At 40.5% G+C, this 20,549-nt stretch overlaps 1 annotated feature.

Moving 5' to 3' along the window:
- Positions 7,891-8,185: a silencer, noted in NCBI's record as "tiled region #15028; K562 Repressive non-DNase unmatched - State 24:Quies". NCBI's record gives its function as "represses a minimal TATA promoter and a strong SV40 promoter by Sharpr-MPRA in K562 cells {active_cell/tissue: K562}" and the evidence as "EXISTENCE:reporter gene assay evidence [ECO:0000049][PMID:27701403]".

The following is a 20,549-nucleotide window of genomic DNA, read 5'->3' on the forward strand; positions in this document are numbered from 1 at the left end:
TTGCCTCAGCCTCCTGAGTAGCTAGGATTACAGGTGTGTGTCACCACACTCAGCTAATTTTTGTATTTTTAGTAGAGACAGGGTTTCACCATGTTGACCATGCTGGTCTCGAACTCCTAACCTCAAGTGATCTGCCCATCTCAGTCTCCCAAATTGCTGGGATTACAGATGTGAGCCACTACATCCAGCCTCCATACATAATTTCTTTTCATCCTCATTCTTTTCTCTTTTTGTTGAATTTTCTCTTCTAATCCTTTAATAAACAATCTAGAACATGTGTAATTGATGCCAGAGACATATGCACTCCACCTCCTCTGAAAGCTTGGGAATACTAAGAAAATGGTTTATTTTTATTCTTTATTAAAGAAATATTAACATTTAACTTTTTTCTTATTAGACTTCTTGCTATTATATAAGATGAGACAATTAAAATGGTCTGTAATTCTACTTCTCTGGTATAATTATTGTTAACATCATGTATAGCCACCTAGTCTCTTATAAACAGAGAAAACATGGTAAATGCTTTCTGCACATTTTAAAAGTCACATTTAATGGTAAAGTGAAGTGAAGATTTGGTAGCAAATTGAAATAGCCTCAATGTTCAATAATAAATTAACTCAAAATGAATTTTTTCCTGAAAAGCTGAGGCCAGTCTAATGTAGCTGTCTGAGATTACCCCAAATATACAACTCCAAACTTCTAATTATGGTATGTGTGGTGTCTTTTAACAAAAGTGAAAAGCTTAGCCACAAAAGAGCAGGAAGCTCAGAAACCTGCAAGAACACTGGATTTGTACATCAGAAGCAGGAATTTGTGTCCTCTAAAAAATGGCCCACTAGAGAATTATTTTTTATTATTTTTTTATTTTTATTTTTTTATTTTTTTTATTTTTTTATTTTTGAGACGGAGTCTCACTCTGTCACCCAGGCTGGAGTGCAGTGGCATGATCTTGGCTCACTGCAAGCTCTGCCTCCCGGGTTCATGCCATTCTCCTGCCTCAGCCTCCCGAGTAGCTGGCACTACAGGCGCCCACCATCATGCGCAGCTAATTTTTTTTGTATTTTTAGTAAAGACAGGGTTTCACCGTGTTAGCCAGGATGATCTCGATCTCCTGACCTCGTGATCTGCCCACCTTGGCTTCCTAAAGTGCTGGGATTACAGGTGTGAGCCACCGTGCCCGGCCAGGAATTATTTTTAAAGATCCTTCTTCCTTGTGTTACCATAAAGCAATCTCTTCCGTATATTTGGCTGATGTGTTTTTAAAAGTGGTTATGATCTCCTATTAGGAAGCATGTATACGTCACCTTTCCTTTGAAAAACTAGAGAATGTCAAGTTTTCTTACTTGCTACAATTAAAACAAGTTGAAAATATGAACACGTGGTCAAAATTAGATAGGAATGGCTGATTTTTTTTTACATTTGGAGGAGCCGGAGCATGATATATATTTCTTTACAACTTGGGGGCTTTTCCAAGGATAGGCAAAGGTTTCAGCAGAGGTTCTCTGACAACATACTTTACCCAAATATCTTTTTAAAAATAATTTGAATTTCAATAGTTTGGGGGGTACAGGTGGTTTCTAGTTACATGGATAAGTTCTTTAGTGGTGATTTCTGAGATTTTGGTGCACCTGTCACCTGGGCAGTGTACCCAATATGTAGTATTTTATCCCTCACCCTCCTCCCATACCTAATTATGGTATGTGTGGCAAGTGTTTTTTAACAAAAGTGAAAAGCATACCACAAAAGAGCAACAAGCTCAGAAACCTGCAAGAAGACTGGATTTGTACATCAGAAGCAGGAATTTGTGTCCTCTAAAAAATAGCCCACTAGGGAATTATTTTTTTATTTTTTATTTTTTTATAGTCCGCAAAGTCCATTATATTATTCTTATGCCTTTACATCCTCATAGCTGAGAACATTTGATATTTGGTTTTCCATTCCTGAGTTACTTTACTTAGAATAATGGCCTCTAGCTCCATCCAGGTTGCTGCAAAAGTCATTATTTCATTCTGTTTTATGGCTGAGTAGTATTCCATGGTGTATGTATAACACATTTTCTTCATCTACTGGTTGGTTGATAGACATTTAGATTGGTAATATTTTTGCAATTGCAAATTGTGCTGCTATGAAGATGTGGGTGCAAGTGTCTTCTTCAAAAAATGACTTATTTTCCTCTGGGTAGATAATCAGTAGTGGGATTGCTGGATTGAATGGTAGTTCTATTTTTAGTTCTTTAAGCAGTCTCCACACTATTTTCCCGAGTCATTGTACTAGTTTACATTCCCACCAGCAGTGTAAAAGTGTTCCCTTTACACCACATCCACACCAACATCTATTATTTTTTGACTGTTTAATTATAACCATTCTTGGAGGAGTAAGGTGGTATCTCATTGTGGTTTTAACTTGCATTTCCCTGATAATCACTGAGGTTGACCATTTTTTTCATGTTTGTTAGCTATTTGTATATCATCTTTTGAGAATTGTCTATTCATGTCCTTTGCCCACTTTTGATGGGGTTATTTGTTTTTTCTTACTCATTTGTTTGAGTTACTTGTAGATTCTGGATATTAGTCCTTTGTTGAATGCATAGTTTGCAAGTCAAATATCTTTTTAATGGGAATCATTAAACCAGTCTGGAAAAGAACGCTGGTATTTTATATAAATTTTATATCCAGAGTAACATTTCTACCATTGGTCTATAGAAAAAAAATAAAGGCAAGGAATACTGTTCCTTTGGTTTTACCCTAGAATAATTTGCTCTTTGGATCGGTATCTAGGTAGAGATTATGACTAAGCATTGGTTAAGTTTGGGAAGCTGGAGAAAATCGTCTGTGTTTATCCAAAGAGGAAGTTTTAAGAGACCTATGGGCTACTTTGACTTGCACCCATGCTTATTTCACATATTTATAGACATTGCAGCCTCTATGTAATGTCTGTGCTCTTACTTAGGGCTATGTGGCTATGGCAATACCTCACTCACCATCCTGCAGAACAAGAGCAACCGTGGATTTTATCACCCAATCCACTAGCTGAAGCAGAATATGACCCACATACAACTGGGGTCCCACATGGCTGGAGCTCGGGGCTATGCCACGTTCAAAGAAATAGCAGTCTGATAGAAAATGAACATCAAAAGCCATTTAAATCTTTACTCGGTCTCACAAGAAAACCCTAAAAAGAAGAGATCATTTTTAGTGCAAAGTAAATTTCCTTTACAAAGCCTCCCAAGGTGACTCTCCACTTTCAAACCCTTTCACACTCCTAAGAGTGACTTCTACCAAAACACTATCTTCTCTCTCTACTCTTCAAAGACCTTCTGCCCACATCCAGACCCAGAGGGCCCTTCCACCTCTGTCCCCGTCTTCACTCCCTTCCTTGTTCTTTATTCTATGAATGGATTCACACTTGCCTGCTTCTTTGTCTTTTGCTTTTCATTTCTTCTATTAACAGGATTCTGAGCAACAAAGCAAAGACTAAGAGCTGACCAAGCAATCAAAAAGTAAGAACCCAAGAAACTTTCCTTTTTTGATGGCTTTAACAGGGACAAATATGATCAGCTAATGGGATTACAGGTTTACCTGTTTCCTACAAGCATGCCTATAATTTTTGATTCTTTGCTTTTGTGTGTGTGTGTGTGTGTGTGAAAAAGCCAACTTTCTTCCCACCCACCTGCTTGTTCCAAAGACCCTATTCTCCAAGGGAAATGTTACATGCCTTTCAAGAAGGCCTTTGCTTTATGTCCACTCATCTTCTCCTGTATTCCACCTAATTCATTCAACACATATTTTCGAAACACAGTGCTATGCTGGACCTCATATGAAGCCTGGTTTACAAGACGTATAAGTAATATGCCAAAATGGTGACACATACACAAATGGCCTTGAGAACAGATACTATATCCTTTATTTTATAATTATACTCAGGGAATATGGGGGATGTTGTGTGGATCACTAATTTCATGTTCAATTGTAATTCCCATTGTTGGATGTGCGGCTGCGTGGGTGAGAGTTTTTGGATCACAGGGGCAGATCCCTCATGAATGGCTTAGTGCCATGCCCTTGGGGGCGAGTGAGTTCATATGATATCTGTTTGTATAAAAGTGTGTGGGCCGGGCGCGGTGGCTCACGCTTGTAATCCCAGCACTTTGGGAGGCCGAGGCGGGTGGATCACGAGGTCAGGAGATCGAGACCACGGTGAAACCCCGTCTCTACTAAAAATACAAAAAAAATTAGCCGGGCGTGGTGGCGGGCGCCTGTAGTCCCAGCTACTCGGAGAGGCTGAGGCAGGAGAATGGCGTGAACCCGGGAGGCGGAGCTTGCAGTGAGCCGAGACTGTGCCACTGCACTCCAGCCTAGGTGACAGAGCGAGATTCCGTCTCAAAAAAAAAAAAAAAAAAGTGTGTGGCACTTCCCACACACTCTCTCCCCTTCTCTGGCCATTTGAGTGCCTGCCCCCTCTTTGCCTTCTGCCATGAGTAAAAGCTCCCTGAGGCCTCCCCAGAAGCCAAGCAGATGGTGGTGCCATAGTTCTATACAGCCTCCAGAATGGTGAGCCAGTTGAACTTCTTTTCTTTGTAAGCTACCCAGTGTCAGATATTTCTTTATAGCAATGCAAGAACCGCCTAACACAATAGGCAAGTAATGTGTTAAGTACTCAGATAGAAGGTGTATTGAAGGACTTGGAGTCCAAGTTAGAACATGAAGAACATGGGAAGGAAAGGTGTCGCAAGCAGAAGAAACAGCATTTGCAAGAACTCTTCTCTAGAATATAAGGGAGAAAAGCAAAGAGGGTCACAATGATTAGCTTCAAATACTTAGGACACACATGGAAGGCAGTTAAGGCTTGATCTGAGTTACTTCAGGGCTGAGAAATGGGATAAACAGGCAGGAATAAGAGAGGCCAAATTTACTCAATCTGAAAAAGAACTTTCTTATCCATGGAACAACCTGAATGATAGTAATGATAATACTAGCAAGTACATATATGCCACTTATTATATGCCAAGTACTGATATGTGCACTTTATGAATAAATATATAAATATTTACTTTATATAATTTTATATATGTCTATGTGTGTGTATATAAATATACAATTAATACTCATAACGGCACTCTGCTACTACTATTCCCAATTCATGGGTACAGAAACCAAGGTATCAGGTAACATGTCCAAGGTGCAATCAGTAGCTGGTGGCCCCTGGATTTGAACCTTGGCAGTCTGGCTCTAGCATTCGTGTTCGTAACCACCCTTCTATACGGCCAATGGACTAGCACATGTCCTATTACTGAAGGCATCCAAGTAAAGGTTGGGTGGCCCTTTGATAGGAATGCCTTAAAAGGGCTTCCTGCATTGAATGGGAGGCTGAGCCATATCACTTCTGAGGCCTCTTTCTCCTCTGACCCTGTGAGGCTGGTAACTTAATTCAAATTGTCTTTATACTTTCAAGGTTCATAACTCACAACTCGTAACCACACTTCTTCCAGTCTCCTTTCTTCCTTCTTCCACTCAAACCATGAAACTCTATCCGTCCTAGCTGCACAATTTTCCCTCCACATACTCTTGATGCTCTCTCCCAATTCTTCGTTATATAGGTTGGACCAAGCCTTTCTGGAAATGCCTTTCCATCCTCCCCTCCTGCCTCTCAGTTTCCTTCATATGTTTTCTCTCCATGTTCCCCTCTCTGTAACTACATCATCCAGGTCAAGAAATTCATCCAGCAAAGACAGCATTTACCTCTGAGAGTGGGTAGAGGAGATGCCCAGGGTGGGAGCAGGCAGGGAGATGGCTGGTCGGGCACTGCCTTTCCCATGGCAGTTTGGCTTTGTGGCCACTTTACTCTTCTGACTAAGAACTCCTCAGGTTTAAAGAGCAGAACGAGAGGACAGAGGAAAAGGAAAAAGTGAGCTTCTGTGTGCCAAGCCTGGCCACTCAGGCTGGAGGGCTTTTAGCTGAAGGGTCTCTCAGACTTGGCACGAAAAGAGGGAGCCATTTCCCTTGTCTTTATAGAACCAGGGAAACCTCAGACATTTCTGTTTGTCTTGTGAACAGCTGGTGACTCCTATGTGAATCTAGTTAAGCATCTTCCTGGCTGCAAACACTACAAGTTCTATTTTTAAGATTAAGAACATTTTCCTAAAATGTATCTCATAAAAGATTGGCTTCAGACATTTTATCCCCAACACACCATTTTGTGGTGCAGGCTAAATCTCATTATAGAAATTACTCCAACCTGAAGCTTGGCCAAGTCAATAATATTGATTGATGAGCCCAGGATGTCAACCATCTCAATACGATGCTTCAGACCCGACCCGTTGTTCTTTAACCTTGTCATATTTGTGGTTAATGCCCCTTCCCCTGGCAGCCCCTCCCTAAAAGAATAAATGTCAAATACAAACCAATTGCATTTGCTTCAGTCAAATGAAGCAAGATGCAGCAGCGTTTCAGTCTGGAATCTGTGCTGCCATTGGAACTTGGAGGGGTTTGGTTGGTTGATTCTGAGCTCTCCTTCAAGTGCACTTGTGGCGTGCTCTGTTCTGTCCCAGGCACTAAGACCTGCAGCGTGACATTCCAAGCAAAAGAGACATGCAGATACCAGGATGCTCAATTTGGGAAAGTAAAAGCCAGAGTCAAAGAAAGACAATCACTGTGGAGTAAATTCCAGGGCTCCTGTGGAATCTGCCTTTATTCCCATAAATACATACTTAAATCAAGCAGTTCCTCTTAGAACTCTGAGTCTCCTCCTGTTTGTTGCCACCATCATTAAAGGGTATAATCAGGTGACAGCCTCTGTAAATAGGAGCAGAAATCAAAACCAGACAGATTGCTACCTACCCATAATATATTTCACCTTAAAAAATAATAGTAAAAAATACAATAGTAAAGCAAGGGCTGTAGAGTGAAATATATATATTTTTTCTGCCTAAAGAAAAAGAGAGAGGAAACAAGTTCAGCTAATTCAGAGTGGAAGGTTGTGTATTAGGGACCTCACATTTATCCAAATAGAGGATGGTGTGGTGAGGGGTTGCCAGGGGAGGAAAGCATCACAGAAACAGTACGGAGAAAAGAAAGCGACAGGATGACGCCACAGAGCCAGACTGTAAAAAGGGGGAAATGGTAAAAGAGCCTGAAATTCTTCTTCAAGAATTCTTTCTTTTCAGCTGAGTGGAGCCATGGTTTCCTGTAATTATCCAGTCATGTGGCTGGCATGGATATAAGTGGGGCTTCTCTTTAGAAAAAGACGAAAAAGAGAAGGGTGTTGGGCCGTAGCTGGGTCCTGTCTTGACAGTCGGATAATTTCAGCAGACCTCAGTCGGCAGCTCACCCAAGCCACAGCACAGACTGGTCTCAGAATTCAAAGTGCAAGTATCCTCAGTAATTGCCAAAAGGCTTTTGGATGGGGAAAACAGTTTTCCAGGACCCTCCCGGTCCATAAAGCAGAAAGGTGAGCATGTAATGCTGAAAGGTTGGCTCTGCCTTGGTCCTTGGTTGACCTAACAACACAGCCTCAGCTTCCTTCTGTTTTCCAAGTTTCTCTGCTTGTCTGTGAAAAAGGAGCAACCCCTGTACACAGAAGAAAGAGTGCAAAATGGAGGAAATCCTTCTTCAGGCATAATCGAAGCTAAGTCAAAGAGGAGGAGAGAGACCAACCAAAATGAGCCAAACAATAGGAGACTTAAATAAAACCCAGGCCCAGTGAGGCCACTTCAAGAAGGCAGCAAAAATTACAGACATCACTGGAAAGGATGGTGGCCACTGAAAACTGCAGGCAACAGCAGTTGTGGTGAGGAACTGGCTTGGACTAGTGTAATAATCGTTCTGGATATTATGTAATGGATGATTTGGCATCTTGAAATCATGGGCCAAACTAATGACCAAAGTTGTTTGCATTCATATTTCCCTGTGTTTTTTGCAAGCACTTGGAAATGGTATTACAAATCCTCTGGCCACAAACTCCAACATCTGTGTTTTGCATCCTGCCCTGTAAAGGGCATCCTCACCCAACAACTTCCTGCCACTATAGTAATAAAGGCCATTGCCCACGCTTTCTCATTCTTCCTTCTGACTCTTGACTAACTCTGGCTGTTCTCCTTGTGACCCCTGCAGGGCACTGTGTGCCCCCTCCTCTTGGAACTGTGCATAATAAACTCTTCTTTCAAATGCAATCGTCTCTGTGCCTGTCATCTTGCCCCACCTGATTCAAACAAGTCCCAGGCACATTGTAAAACAGCTACAAAACATCATTTTGGATTCTCAATGGTGTACGCATTTCTAAACTGTGTTTGTGTGAGCAGTGGTCTGTGAGACAGACTTTTTCCTCACGGCCTATGTGATTCTGAAGGTGGAATTCACAAACCAGCTAATGATGATAACAGCTAACCTGGTTTGACAACTTGCAAACAATGAGTACTTCACATGACTCAACTCATTTCATCCTCATCTCAGCTCTATGTGGTAGGTCCCATCATTATTCCCATTTTACGCATGAGGAAAGGCTCAGAGAGGGTGAGTAAGAAGCAGGAGATGACTCAGCCTGTGGGCAACAGAGCTTAGAGGTAGTCTGGCTCCAGAGGCAGGGTTTCTAACACTGTACTTACTCTTACCTCAAATTCACTTGCTGCATCTTTAGTTCTTTCTCACTGTGATGGCCACATAGTCATGAGCAACGACAAACATTTACTGAGGCCAAATGAATGCATGTCATTATCGTAGGCACCAGGAGTACCTGACTATGAGAAAATGAGTCCTACTCTTGGCGGATACGATGAAAATATAACAGACCAGCATAGCTTCCACCGAGAACCAGTTATAGAGACAACAGATGCTTGCAAAAATAAGAGAGAAAAAAATCATAAGCTTTAGGGGAGCTGGAAAATTTGAGGGTGGGGGTGATTAACTTGTACTTTAAAGGAAAGAGAGGGCTAGAAAATGGACAGCTGAGGGGAGGGCATTTCTAGGAGATGAAAAGGAGAGAAAAAAGGCAACATAGGAAGACTGGCATGTTTACAGTTTGGCTCTATTGATCCTTTTTTTATTTGAGTGAAGGATTAGGTTGACATTAAAAAGGTTGATGCCGATGACAAAGGCTCTCCCATTGTGATGCTCAGGGAGCTAGTGCATCGGCTGAGCTTTGTGGAAGACTTGTAAGTAGAGGGGAGGAGGTGAGCAAACTCAAGAGATTAGGACAAGAGGGAGGGAGCAGCCCGGGAGGTGGAATGCCAGAAAAGAGGATGGTCGGGGCTCACTGAGATTGGGAAGGGCTGAGCTGAGGCCCACTGCAGGCAACAGAGAAGATAGGGATGAGACTGGAACAACATATCCTTTGGGTTCAGAGGGTTCTTGGAGTCCAGTTCCATCATGGATAAACAAGTACCTGTAATTAGGATTACTGGTGTTATAGGAAACAGTATTAAAAACAACCACTAAAGTTCTTGCCTTTCTTCCCTATTTCAAGTCCTACTAGAGGCATTTAAAAAGCTGGCATATAGTGGATTTCTAACAACCTGGATTACTAACACAACATGCTAGTGTTATATTTGTCAGTATATCTTTTGCTTTAGGTTATTTTCTTTTAATTTTTGTTTCATTAGATAAGTAGAAAGTTATTAAAGAAAACAGAAATTTTAGATATTAAAAAGGAATATGCTAAATTACATGTAATCCTACCAGCTGGTCATAATAAAAGTATTTTTTTTGGTATTAACTAACCTGTCAGACATTATAAATGTTGTATATACACACACATGTGTGTGTTTATATAATACACTTGTTTTATAATGAAACAATCATAACCAGGCATATGGCTATATAACCTGCTTTAATTCATTCATAGCATACCGTTACTGTATTTCCATGCCAGTAATTGTATATAGAGAGAGCTGGGCTCAGTAGCATGAGCCTGTAGTCTCTGTAGTCTCAGTTTCTTGGGAGGCTGAGGCTGGAGGATTGCTTAAGCTCAGGAGTTTGAGTCCAGCCTGGGCAACATAGCAAGACCCCATCTCTTAAAAATAATTATACATACATCCATACATACATACACACCCACACACACACACACAGATGAAAATGATGTATATATACATTTTTGACCTAACAGTTACATGAATGTCCCATGACTTGTTTGAATATTTTACTTTCTTTCTTTTTTTAAGTATTTTACATAATGTAATGTAGCACTAAATATTTTTGGACATTAGTTCTGAGTACTTGTCTGACTATACAGGTAATTCTCAAAAATAGATGAGAAATGTTACTTCTCAGACTGTCTCCTTTGTTGTTTTCAAGATTTTCTCTTCATCCCTACACATCTGTTGACCATAATTTTCTCTTTGGTCAATTTCCTTTTATATAGTCTCACTTGAAAAATGACTACATGAATCTCCCGTGGCAATTCCAAAATTCCAAATAATTTATGTAGATACTCCGTCTTCAAGGAGGGGGAGCATACATTCCTACTCCTTAAATGTGGGCTATGCATAGTGACTTCCTTCCAAGGAGTACGGCATAAAAGGAGGAACAAAAAATGAAAGTAACTTTACGGTGGAGCAACATGACAACACCACCTCATCCAGGTGATCAAGGTCTACATCAACAGCTATAAATCATGTTGATGTTACATACTCCTGATAAGATGTGATGAAAATGACAGTTTACCTCTGTGGCCTTCCCCCCTGCCCCGCCCCCCAGTAACCCAAAACACCAGTCTTATCATGACAAAACACCAGACAGCATTTTAATAGTAGGGCATCCTACAAAACATCTAACCAATACTCTTCTAAACTGTCCAAGTCATTAGAAACAAGGAAAGTCTGAGAAACTATCCCAGCCAAAAGGAGCAAAGGAGACATGACTAACTGTAACCTGGTAGCCTGGATAGAATCCTGGAACAGAAAAGGGACAGCAGGTAAAAACTAAGGTAATCAGAATAAAGTACGGACTCTAGTGAACAACAATTTATCAATATTGGTTCATTGATGGTAACATATGTACCATACTAATGTAGGATATTAATATCAGGGAAACTTGGCATTGGGTATATTAGAACCCTCTGTACTATCTGTTTGACTTTTCTGTGAATCTACAACTATTCTAAAAATAAAGTCTATTAAAAATGAGCTTAAGAGCATCCCAAAGGTGGTTCTTTTCTTGGTGCCGTCTGAATGCGCAAATGTAGACATGTGAACTGGACTTCAGGCTACTGAAGTCAGGCCTAGTCTGGGCCTGTCCTCACTGGTGAGGGTGGGTGTGGGGATGGTCTACAGAGCAGAAGGCAGTCCCCGGCCAGACGGAGAGCTCAATGTGGAGGAGCCACCCTTATTATTTCCTCCTGCTTGAATATGTGTACTCATCCTAGAAGGTGCACATTCTTTCACTCCAGCAATACTAACAACAGTAAGAAGAAAAATTCTCAAAATTGAGTGAAACACCGCCACCACCAACCATATCAAGAAAGAACACACCTGCAACAGCTTTCTCTGCATCGATTTAATTTGCTCTCCAACAAGTTGAGGCCTTCATAGGATGGACAGTCCACCTGCATGACTAACTCTGCTGGAGAAAGCCTTGGACCTGGAACTTGCCCAGAGAGTTAGAAAAGCTGAGAGTGTGACAGCAGGGTGCCACCAAGAATTCACTGTCTTCAAGAAGAGCAAACAGGAGCAATAATGCTATTACCATTGCTAACTGTGTAAAACACATATAAAACACACCAATAACTTAGAAGTTTCTTGTTCACAGGTAACTCAGTTTTTTAAAATATGGGTTACTTGGACTGTTTCTAATAAAATAGCTAATATTTGCTAAGCTGACCACTTGCTACCTGCCAAGCTCTGTTTGAAGCACCTAATATGTATTAATTCATTTAGTCATCACAACTCTATGAAGTGGTTACTATTATTGCTCCCATTTTATAGATGAAGCTGAAAGAGAGGTTAAGTAGCTTTCAAAAGGTCTTACAGAAGGGAGAATTCACATCATAATAATTTGACTCCAGAACCCAAACTCCCAATCTCTATACCATATAATATGTAGCCTTACACACATATATGTGCACATATATACACATTCATATAGGTATATATGCATATATGTTTGTGTGAATGCACGTATCTTTACTATAAAACATTCTAAAACTGGTAAATTCTTTATGATGTAAAGTTCTATTTCAACTGAAACACAGAATAGAAAAATTATTGACTGTTTAAATGTTCAGAACATTTATAGATGATATGTACATAAAACAGAAAAGTAATGATTTGATACTTAGAGATGAATTGGTAAATAAAATGCCATTTTCATATCAGTTTTAGCAGATAAAAGCCTTTGAAGATTGCTTGAATATTACACAGAAGAAAAGAGCTCTCTCTTAGGACAACTGTTGCCAGAGATATAATACTTAAGTACAATTGGAAAATTCTAAATCCCCTTGGAGTTGGAGGGAAGTGGATTTCTGTAATGAGTGCTACTTCCAATTCTCTTGAGAAGAATAATAAAGGCCAGATTGATTTTCCCTTGGAGAGACTGATTAGGCATTTCTTAAACCTCACTCACAGGTAGCTGACCTCTGCCTTGGAATTTTGAATCTGTAGGTCACAGATGTGTCATTTTCATGCATGCTTACATAAGTAACCTGGGAAATAGATGATGCTGGCATTTTGAAGCCTGGTTTTTATTATTATTTTTCAAATAATATATAATTTCAAATAACTTTAAGGTAGGGCAGAATTGTTTATTTCTGCACTAGAGGGAAAGCTCCCTCTCACAATAGCCAAAGGAAGCTTGCGGGGAAGCATTTTTCAGCAGCAAGGACAGGGATGAGAACTGGAGCTCTGTGATCCTGAGGGAAGGCTGATTGAAACAGCAGATAGGAGGAAGATTAGAAGCAGCCAAAGATAAACAGAACCCATGAGATTATTCTGAGCATCCTGTGCTGCTGTGGTACACATGGTGGCTGAAATTCTCCCCAGGGGTGTGTATCACAAAGCTGCAGGTTTTCCCTCCATGATTAGGAGTACTGCTTCTGTTCACGTTACCATGGTGATACCAAGACTGATTAAAGGGAGTTCTGTGAGGCAGTGTGTTCCATGAACGTGTATTCCTGTATGTGTGCATGCTAGGGGTAACACACACACACACACACACACAAACGCATGCATGCACAAGTCATATCTAATTCTGATTCTTTTGTTGGGTGGGAATTTGATGCCAGTATTTACTTTATTTGGAATCTTAGTCCTCGTAAGTAGGTCATCAGTTAGAGGTAGGAGAACATCCTGTTATACAGAAATGTTGACAATTGTAACTGTGGGGCTTCCTGAGGCAACGTTTTCCCTTCTCAAGACCAAAGGTGAAATATAGGTTGGAGAGAGGTGCCAGGGGAAAGGTAAATATGAGGACTGCCTTAAGAATTTTTTTCTTCTTTTTTTTTGTAAAGTCCATTGGAACCTTCTTGGGCAAATCAGGAGCAGCCTTTATTGTGTGTCTAGGTGTCATGAATTCCGAAAAGGTGATATTGTGATGTGGTAAGACAATTTCAACCCCTCTTATTTTGCATTTGGTTAACGGTATCTCCTGGGGCCCAAGTTGACATCCTCATTTACCCATGTTTTTGTCTTTTCACTTGCTCCCAGTAGTCTCTAAATCCAATGCAGTGCCTTCTTGTAGCCTCTTAACTCTAAGCTCTTTCCTCCATCCTCACAGTCTCAGCATTAATTCAAGCCCTCACCATCTTTACTAGGACTACTTCAGTAGCCTCTCAGTGACACTCTCCAGTCCCACTGTTCCCTAGGCCACCACCCACATGACCACCAGAAAGATCTTTCTAAAACAGTTGTAGTTTTGTCACTGTTTTAGTCAACACCCACGCACCCCACCCTGCCCCACCCCGGCAGAGCATTCAAGGCCATAATCACATTCCCAGGAATTTCTCCAATTAAAATCCTGAGGCCAGCCGAAGTCAGTATGCCCTTTGAGACTTAACCAAAATTTAGCTCATTCTTGAATTCTGAGGAAGGTCTAAGAATCTCCCAACAATTTTTCTTAATTCCTAGGGTTTATGTTCTCTTGGTCTAGCTTACTTAAGTTGATCTGTGACTCTGATATATTCTATACATTCTATAGAGATGTAACGTATTCTATGCTTATTTTATGGGCAGTATTATGGTAAATGTATTACATGTATTATTTCATTTAACCCTCACAACAGCCCAAGAAAGCTGACACTATTATTAATTCTATTTGCTGGATAAGGAAACTGAGGCTTAGGGAGACACATGTCTGAAGACACCAGACCATAAGTGTAAAGTGAGTAGACAGTCATGAGGGTCTGACTCTACCACCGCTCTACACTGCCTCCCTTTCTTTCCTCTCATTTCCTGATCATTCATTTATTAATTTACTAATTCATCTTTGAATGAATGCCCTTTGTATGCTAGGTACTGTTCTAAGAATGAAGGCGGATATCAGGAAGAATAGGAAATGATCCATGCTCTTAAAAGGAAACAGAAGTGTGCAGTGTGTGGTGACAGCATTTCAGGAGCAGGGGCAGACCTAATGCAGAGGGCTCTGCACCAACCATAGCCTGGCTCAAGAGTTTAAATCTCCTCATTGCTCTTCAACTAACATCCAGAATTCTCCATAACTTGCACTCTTTTACCCACCTTCATCCATGCTGTTCTTCCTCTCTCTTCCTCCCTATTCATCCTGTTTTTCCCTGCAAACATGCCAGATCATTCCTATCCTCTGGTCATCATCACCCCCAATATTTACCTGATTAGAATGGTTTCTGTCTCCCTCAGTCCTATCTATTCTTCAGCATGCGTCTCAAGTCCCACGTACTCAAGGAAGGCTTCCCAGATGCCCCCCGGTGACAATGATTTCTTCTGCTCATGCATTTACATCACACCTTGCCTATTTGGATTATTTTTTCCCCTGGTAATTTTGTTAGACTCCCAGCCCACTGCTTTATTATCACGACCCTTTTTCTCCCCTTGGGTTCCTTTGCAACATTTCCTGCCTTTTTGGTAGGAATATGGCATGGCACAATGCTTAACAATTTTGGCTGTTCAGCTGAACAAGCCCAGTTTGAATCCTGACACCCCTGTTTATTAGTTACATAAATGTCTCAAGACACACAGCTAAGTCTTGGTTTCTTCCTCTGTAAAATAATAGTAGTAGTAGTAGTATGTTATGACTGCATGTTTGTGTCCCTCCAAAATTCATATGTTGAAATCTCCAATGTGATGGTACTTGGAGATGGGGCCTTTGGGATGTAATTAGGCTATGAGTGTGGAGCACTCATGCTGAGCTTAGTGCCATTTTTAGAAGAGACATGAGACAGTTTGCTTCCTCTCTCTGCTCTCCACTAAGTGAGGAGATGGCTATCTGTAAACCAGGAATGGGGTTTTCACCAAGAACCTGGCCATGCTGGCACACTGATCTCACACTTCCAGCCTCCAGAACTGTGAGAAATAAATGTTGTTTAAGCCACTCTGTCTATGGTATTCTGATATAGCGGCTGGAACTAACTAAAACATACTGTCTACCTCATTGAGTTGTTATACATACTAAAGGTTGTAACACTTTAGAAAAAGCCAAGAAACACACACACACACAAACACACACACACACAAACATGCCACACAACCAGGAAGTCATCTATGATGAGATGTATTTACTAGGTATATGTTTCAGATGAAGTCTAGGTAACATCACAGTCTGGAGAAATAGAACAAAGATAAAGTCTAGGTAACATCATAATCTGGAGAGATAGAACTCTGAACATACAAACAAAGGAGCAATACACATAATTCAGATGTCAGCTGGGTCACCTTGCTTGACCCAGACCTGCTGTTCATAGATTCTGAGAAGCCTAATGTTTTCCCCAAGACGTCTTTAAATTCCTTGGGGGCTTTAGGTGTTTGTGAATCACCCATGGCCCTGAGCTCCCTGTTCTGCCAAATAACTCCTCTGTGGTCTCAGTTCCCATACCTTGCCAGCCCTTTCTTCTAAATTTCCATTAAATGAATGACTCACACAAGCAGAGCATTTTCCTGAAAGTCTTGGGAGTTCTGTTGCAGAAATGCAAATTGCTCAAAATTTAATGCTGAAAATTTCTGTTCCTTAAACACCCCCAGCCATTTCCCTCTTAGTCACCTGGTCCTTCTCTCACTTCTTCCCACCACCACTTCCACTGTTGTAATGGAATTATTTCCAATACACGAGCCTCTGCCAAATCTATGCTCTTACGACCTCATCTTGTTCCTTGGAATCTCATTAAGGTGTTTTTCCAGAGACAGTTGTGTCTTCCTAAGAGGAATTCTGGTCTCTGCTTCTAATACATTTTAAAACTCTGCCACATTTAAATTATTAAAAGTATCCATCCTCATTGGAACACTGGCATCTCTGCCACTAACTATGGGCACACCTAGGCCACTTTAGATCTAAAGAATGAGGAGATGAACAAGATGATTTCAACTGCCAAACTGTATATGGCAACTGCGTAGCTGAAAGATGTAAAACTCATTAAATCTGTCTGAAAGCAGTTAGGGAATATATTGCTAGCGCAGAACACAAGTTCAAGGTTTAAATGTTAGTTATCAAGGTGCTCAAGAGGAAAGGCGAATATATTGTCTATCACTGTGTATAACACATTACCTAAAGATTTAACAGTTAGATCAATGAACATTTATTAGGTCACAAAGTTTTGTATAGTTGGGAAGATGGGAGTGGCTGAGCTGAGTGGCTTCAGCTCAGAGTCTTGAAGGACGCAGCCAAACTGTTGATTGGGCTTGATGTCAGGAGTAACTGAGGATTTCAACTTGGGCCCCCAGGAGACCCCATTAACCACATAGAAAATAAGAGGGGTTGAATTTGTCTTACCCTATCACAATATTTCCTTTTAGGAATTCATGACACCTAGACACACCATAAAGGCTGCCCCCAATTTGCCCAAGAAGGTTCCAACCATAATATTTAAAACAGTCCTCATATTACCTTTCCCCTGGCACCTCTCTCCAACCTATATCTCACCTTTGAGGATAAGAGGTGAAAACGTTGCCTCAGGAAGGCCCATAGTTACAATGAACATTTCTGTATAGCAGGATGTTCTCCTACCGCCAACTGATGACCTACTGTGAGGACTAAGATTGACTGGGGCTAGAGGGTATGCTCCCAAGACAGCTCACTTGTGTGGCTGTTGGCAGGAGGCCTCAGTTCCTGGCTGGCTATTGGCAGTTGCTAGCCACACAGGCTTGTCCACAAAACTGCTTGAGAGTCCTCACAACATGGCAGGTGGCTTTCCTAAGATTGAGCGATCCAAGAAAGAGCAAGGAGGAAACCATGATGCCTTTTATGGCTTAGTTTCAGAAGTTTCACACGGCCATTTCTGCCATATTTTATTAGTTAGAAGTGAGTCCATACATCCAGCTCACAGTTAAGGCAATGGGAATTAGGCTCCAGGTTTGAAAGGGAATGTCAAGGAGTGTGGGCCTGTTTAAACCATCACTGTGAGAACACCTTTAATCTCTTCAGACCACCTCAGCTGGAATGGTTTTGAACTTCAGGTGAAAACTGAATCAAGTATTGGAAAGTTTAGGAAGGACTCCTACTCTTTTCCTCTCTCTCCACAAGTCCTTGGGGGGAGTTCTATTCCTGTTCTGCAGAGAAAATCTGACAGAGATGGATAGGAGGCAACATGGAGCGGAAGAATATAAATGTGGAGCATGCCAATTTTTAATATTCGATGCCATCCAGAATTATGTCAGAGGCAGAGTGAGATTAATTGGGGAATTAAGTTTCCTCTTTTCTTATTCTATGCCTTTCCCTCTCAAACTCTTCTCCTCAGCCAGGGAGGTTATCAAATGACACGCAGAGTTTTTTTCTCCATTATTCTTAGCACTAAGGACCCATTAGGCAGCACTGATGTTTCCTGGGATCAAACAATCAATCATTTCTTTCTCGGAAACGGGGACAGAGTGATTACACATTTTGTTCTGCTTTTTAAAAGCTATGGCTGGGGAGCTAGCATACACATGATAAAAATACTTTCCAATTGATACACAGCTATTATTAGAGCTGGTATTTACTTAAATGGTTTGTGTCACCATATTGCATTTACTGTATTGTGTCAACGGAGGAATTTTTAACTCCACAAACAGATTTCTTTTTTTGATGCTGCTTAACTGCTCTGATTTACATCTGTAATTTCTAGACATGGTTTCCACCTCCTAGAAAAGATAGCCCTCTCCCTTTTTTAAATTAAAGTTTTCATTTAAGGCAAAAAATTCCAGTTTTAAACCAAGTCCTAAATTCAGAACTCTTTATATATCTAAAAAACTGATCTGGCATAATTGATTAATTCATAGTTTTGCCAAAGACCTTTACTGTATTTAGTGTAACAATATCTCAAATTAGATGCAGCTGGCCAGAGGAATATTCTTTTTAAGCAATGGCTACTGTATAAGATTCAGTCATAATTTTGATGATGAACGGAACAGATGACTAACAGAATCAGAAAGCTAATTCCTGTATCCCAATTCCTTTATTAGGTCTCCTCTTTCATTTCCAACTACTGCATTTAACGCCATCTTACAATGGAGTTCGATTGTTACTTGCCAAGTCAAAAGATCATCACGTTGTCTCAGATGTGAAATCTCGTTTATGATAATAGGGACTGACCCAGTAAAAATAACTCTACCTCTGGATCATAGTGAAAGAAAGGAAAAAAAAAATTAAAGGAAAGAGCACAAAGGACTTGTGGTGTCTGTCTGGATCCCTTTAGTGAACTGCCCCTGAGACAAGCATCCTCAGGGGAAGTGAGAGTACCTGGGGGAAGTAAGAGTACCTGGGGGATGCCAGGAAAAAGAGATGACCTGAAGATGATACCATGCTTCAAGCAGCCCCGAGCAGGATATCTGACACGGTGTAGACACTCATGAGATATCTTGTGAGGCTCATTAGATAATTAGAGGCTCATTTGATATTTTGAAATAACTTAAGTCAATTTAGGAGAAATTAGAGTATTTGGGGCCCAGATCCTAAAAGATGGATATATTATTCTCCAAGTATAAATTAGGCATTTTGGAGAAATCTCAGCTATTCCAGGAATTAAGGGCATATGTCATTACTACAGGAATAGTAACAACATTGTGGAATTTCATAGAATCTCCCCTTCTCACACTCCTCCTCAAATTTCAAGGCTTTAAAAATACATTCATTATTTAAGGTTATAAATCCTCTGTAGGCTCTTTAGAGAGAATTTGAAACACACATAAAAATATAAAGAAAAAAATCAACCATAATGCCTTCACTTAGGAACAGACATTGTAAACATTTTGGCTTATTTCTCCCCAGTAATTTTGTAAGCACATGGTTACAGAACTAGGATAATACTGCATGTAAAGCTTCTCACATCATGCTTTTCAGAATTAAAAAAATATATAACATTTTATTGTGATTAAAACGTGAATACATGTTTGTTGTAGAAAATCTGGAAAAAAACAGAAAAGTGTAAAGCAAGAACTAAAAAAAGAACTTCAATCTTGTCACTTCACAGAAGCACTGTTAATATTTTGGTGACCTTCCCTTCTGGGATTTTTAATTTTTTCTGGTCCTTAACAAACCTTTGGACTTACTTGAGAGAGTTGAGGCTATTTCTTCAGTGTCCAGTTACCATTTAACCAAGATGGAAGTTAAAGACCCCTGGAAAAGTCAAGCAGCTTAATAAAAACTAAATGGATTTCTTTTCCCAGTTGACGTTTGTTACTGTGACCCTTGAGGGTGGAGGGAAAGTACAGTACTATCTGGGAACAAAGATGCTTCATGAGTTGCAACCTATCTGATGCTCGCAAGATGGGAGCCTTCATGTCCCTGCATTGAGAGGTGGGCTGGACAAAGGGAAAGGACCATGGGAGTCAATAATGTATGAATGGACATTATGGGGTTAAGAGGTAGCTTGAGATGCTGTCAAAGCCTCAATCATCAATTCTAATTCAAAATGTCTGTGCTATCAAAAATTATATTTAGCTCATAAAATTGATGATTTATATTGAACAAAATCACACTAACCAATGGCCCCTCTTTTCCTCCCATGGGGCTTCTTTATTGTGATAAGCTAAGGTCATATAGATTATTGCCAAGAGGAATGAAACTCAATGGTCTCATAAAAACAGAAATAAAAACCCCAAAAATCATTATCCTGAATCTTATGTTTCACTGAAAAATGATTTTACCAAGTTGACTTCCAGGAGGCATCGTGGTGTGGAACAGGCACTAGTGCAGCTCTGCCATGTATTTGTGTGTGAACATGGGCATGTTATTGTTACTCTGAGTTCTGGATTTATCGTCTATAGAACCAGAGCTAACTACTCCTCCTCTGCACAGGTAGTGAGTGGCTCAAATTGGCTAACATGGGAAAGTGTCTGGCACCTACAAAGGAGACAGTGTTTGTTAGTTCCTTGTTTTAAGTTCATGGACTGCCTCTCATGACAGTAAGTGTGGTTGGTATATTATGGGGCACTGGTTATATGCATCAGTGTTTATTGTCATGGATTA

Source organism: Homo sapiens, chromosome 3 (genome assembly GCF_000001405.40).
Source record: "Homo sapiens chromosome 3, GRCh38.p14 Primary Assembly".
Taxonomy (NCBI): Eukaryota; Metazoa; Chordata; class Mammalia; order Primates; family Hominidae; genus Homo; species Homo sapiens.